General features: G+C 37.3%; 1 annotated feature.

Annotated features, from left to right (window-relative positions):
- Positions 1,875-3,074: an enhancer, noted in NCBI's record as "BRD4-independent group 4 enhancer chr13:104591465-104592664 (GRCh37/hg19 assembly coordinates)". NCBI's record gives its function as "activates an origin of replication core promoter dependent on BRD2, P300/CBP, MED14 and CDK7 cofactors, and independent of BRD4, by STARR-seq in HCT116 cells {active_cell/tissue: HCT116}" and the evidence as "EXISTENCE:reporter gene assay evidence [ECO:0000049][PMID:35650434]".

Below are 3,767 nucleotides of genomic sequence, written 5' to 3'. Positions count from 1 at the left end.
ATTTAAAAGTTTTCTGATTGGCAATTGATTGAAAGAGTTATTATCGATAGAAAGGAATATCTGGGTTATACTAAGGGGAACAACATTTTATCAGGCAGATGAAACCTCCAGATAGCAGGCTTCAGAGACAATAGATTATCCATGTTTCTTATCAGACTTAAGGTCTGTGTTGATGTTAAATGCTGGTTGCCTTTTCCTGAATTCCAAAAGCTAGGGGAGGGTGCATAATGAGGCATTTCAGACTCTTTCTTGTCCTCATGGCCTGAACCAGTTTTTCAGGTTACCTTTGGAGTTCCCTGGCAGAGAGGAGAGGTCCATTCAGTTAGTTGGGGGGCTAGCTTTCGATTTTTTGCTTTACAAGTGCAATAGAAAAAGTATGTATTAGTAGAATTCTCACATATCTAATATGATGCTATTTGAAATACTAAGTGGAAAGAAAAACTCTAGAATGAGTCTTATCTCAGCCTTTAAATGATTCATCTCATATTAAGATTACAACATAATGAATGTACAATATAATCTGTCTACTGCCAGTGCTCTCAAACTCTTATCACTAGTTCAAAAATATTTATTTAGAGGTTACTAAAAACTCCCTTTAGGAAAACTTTACTTGTTTTGTTAATCTTGAAGATGGTAGATAACAGGGTCTCATCTTCTATAAAGTTGAAGAAAAGTATTAAGTAATTACAGAAATTCTCTGTATGTTGGCTTAATTTTATTCTTTTAATGTATGCATTTTGATCGAAATAAATATATATATAAAAGTGAAAAAGCATGTCTTTAAGTGGTACAGAGAGATTATAAAATTTTTGATTAGATAAAAAAGGGATTTAAAAAACTATCACTTTTTCTTTATTACTGAGAGGCTCAAGCAAAGAAACTAGGGCTGTAAATGAACAAAAAAAAAAGACCAAAAGAATATTTTGTATTAAAATTGTCTATTCCATTACAAGAAACATGCTTTGGAAGTTGTGCTTTTCTCTTCTTTTTTCTCAGAGTATCGTGTCACATGTAATCAACACTTGTCCTTGTGTTTGTGTCTGAGTAATCAAAGTTATCCATAAACAATTGAAAGTAAAAGCATGTTTCTATGTAACTCAGGCAGTATTCAGACCTTGAATCAAACCAGATTTCTTCTCCTTTTACCACCTCATCTGGACTAAGTCTGTAAATGTTAGTTTATATTTCCCTGCTAGCTTACCCCAGTCATCATTTGAGAGTGAGTGAGCAGTTCAGATTTATGGAAAGGAACTAATCAGTAGCAATGACAGATCATGGAGCAACAACTAATCCTAAAGAGAGGAGTTTTCAGAAATTTACATGTAGATTTAAATTAAGGTGGAGGGAAAATGGACATATTCCAGCAGAGATAAGAGAAACACAGGACGATGGAACAAAATGAAACACTGAAATAAAACCTTCAGAGTTTCCTCAAGCTCTTTTGCTTGGACTCTGGTGAAGGCATATTCAACATAGAATTTTACATTTGATCTACTATATATTGTACTTCTATTTACATTCTCCTATCCTCTAGCTAGACAATTCTAAACAGTTATATAGTGAATGCAATTGCAGTAAATCATTTTCCATTTGGGTGAGTGACAAGGCCACATATTCATTCTCCTGTCAATTCACTTTCCCAATTTGTGCACATCCTTGCAAAGATAGCAGCCATGTTCCAAGGACACTGTCTTCCATTATTTTCAGCCTACATCAGGCAGAAGTGGAATAGGACATGAAACTCAGCACAAAAACATGAGAGGTTCTTCTTCACCTACACATACCCTTTCTTTAAGGAACATAATTGAAGGAGTGGCTTGTTTATAAAGAAAATGAAGACTGACATTTGGAAAACACACCCAACATAGTTTCTGAAATGATTTAACACATGTTCATCAAAATGAAATTCATTATCAATAGACTAAAGAAGAAAAAATATACGATCACATTGAGATGTGAAGCTGGCTGGGCTTCTGAGTCCGGTGGGGACTTGGAGAACTTTTCTGTCTAGCTGAAGGATTGTAAACACACCAACCAGCACTTTATGTCTAGCTAAAGGTTTATAAACGCACCAATCAGCACTCTGTCAACACGGACCAATCAGCACTCTGTAAAATGGACCAATCAGCACTCTGTAAAATGGACCAATCAGCAGGATGTGGGTGGGGCCAAATAAGGGAATAAAAGCAGACAACCCTAGCCAGCAGCAGCAACCCACTGGGGTCCCTTTCAATCATATGTAATGTTTGTTCTTTCACTCTTCGCAATAAATCTTGCTGCTGCTCACTCTGTGGGTGCATGCCACCTTTATGAGCTGTAGCATTCACTGCAAAGGTCTGCAGCTTTCGCTCCTGAAATCAGCGAGACCACGAACCCACCGGGAGGAACAAACAACCCAGGATGCACCGCCTTTATGAACTGTAACACTCACCAGGATGTTTTGCAGCTTCACTCCTGGAGCCAGCAGACCACAAATCCACCAGAAGGAAGAAACTCTGGACACATCTGAACATCAGAAGGAACAAACTCCGAATACACCATCTTTAAGAACTGTAACACTCACAGCGAGCGTCCGCGGCTTCATTCTTGAAGTCAGCAAGACCAAGAACCCACCAATTCCAGACACAACATCAATTAATGTATAAAGAGCATTTGACAAAATCAAACATCCACATTGACGATGTACAGTTTCAGCAAAATAGCAATAGAGGGAAACTATTCAAAGTTGATTAAAGGCATCTACAAATGTTTAACAGTTAACATCATACTTAATGGTGAAAGACTGAATACCTTCCCCAATCAGGAACAAAGCAAGCATATCCATCTGTGGCAATGCAAACATTTAATTTTTAAAAAGGAGGTGAAAGGACAGTACGCTGGTTGTTTCTAGCTATCAACGTGACGTCATTGAAGGCAAAACTAGAAATAGATGCAGAGTTGTCTCTTGCACCAGCAAAAGTTGACTCTAGCACACCACTGCTCCAGTGACATGGAGTGATTGGTGGTAGACTAGTTCTTCTTCCTTACCAACCAGAAAAAAAAGTATTTATGATACAATAATATCATTGTATTATAAATAATAAGATATAATATTCTATGCTGTACTTAGAAGAATAAAAACGTTACAGAAAAATGAATAACAGGTATCAATAGATAATTGATAGAAAAAGAATGCAAAAGACTGTAAATGAAGAGATGCTCTACCTGACTCATAGTAAGAAAAAATGCAAGTGGACACTGTGCTGAAATGCAATTTCTTACCTCTTAGATTTACAAAAATCCAAAAGATTGGTAATATAATATGTCTGTCAGGCCATGAGGAGACAGACATTTCCGTACATTGTTGGTAAGTACGTGGATGGCATATGCAATTACACACTTCTAGAAAGAGAATTTGGCAATACTTAGCCTTCAAATGATTTCAGTCCAGTGATTTGCTGATAGATCCAGTTTCCAAAGGTGGGCTGTGGATATAGAGCCTTGATTCATGGCAATTTCAATCTTCATTGAACTACCACTACCCTGGCTGTTTCTAGCTATCAATGTGACATCACCGGAGGCAAAACTAGAAATACATGCACAAAGTTGTCTTTTGCACTAGCAAAAACTGACTCTAGCACACCGCTGCTCCAGTCCAACCACCATCTGACTGCATCCTCATAAGAAATTCCAAATAAGAACTACCCGTCAGAGTCCAGTCAATCCACTGAAGTCTGAGAGAAAAGCAGTATGTTTCTGTTTTAAGCCACTGAAGTTTAGAAGGATTT

The sequence above is a fragment of the Homo sapiens genome, chromosome 13 (assembly GCF_000001405.40).
Source record: "Homo sapiens chromosome 13, GRCh38.p14 Primary Assembly".
In the NCBI taxonomy this organism is placed as follows: domain Eukaryota; kingdom Metazoa; phylum Chordata; class Mammalia; order Primates; family Hominidae; genus Homo; species Homo sapiens.
This window is presented reverse-complemented; position numbering and strand designations above follow the sequence as displayed.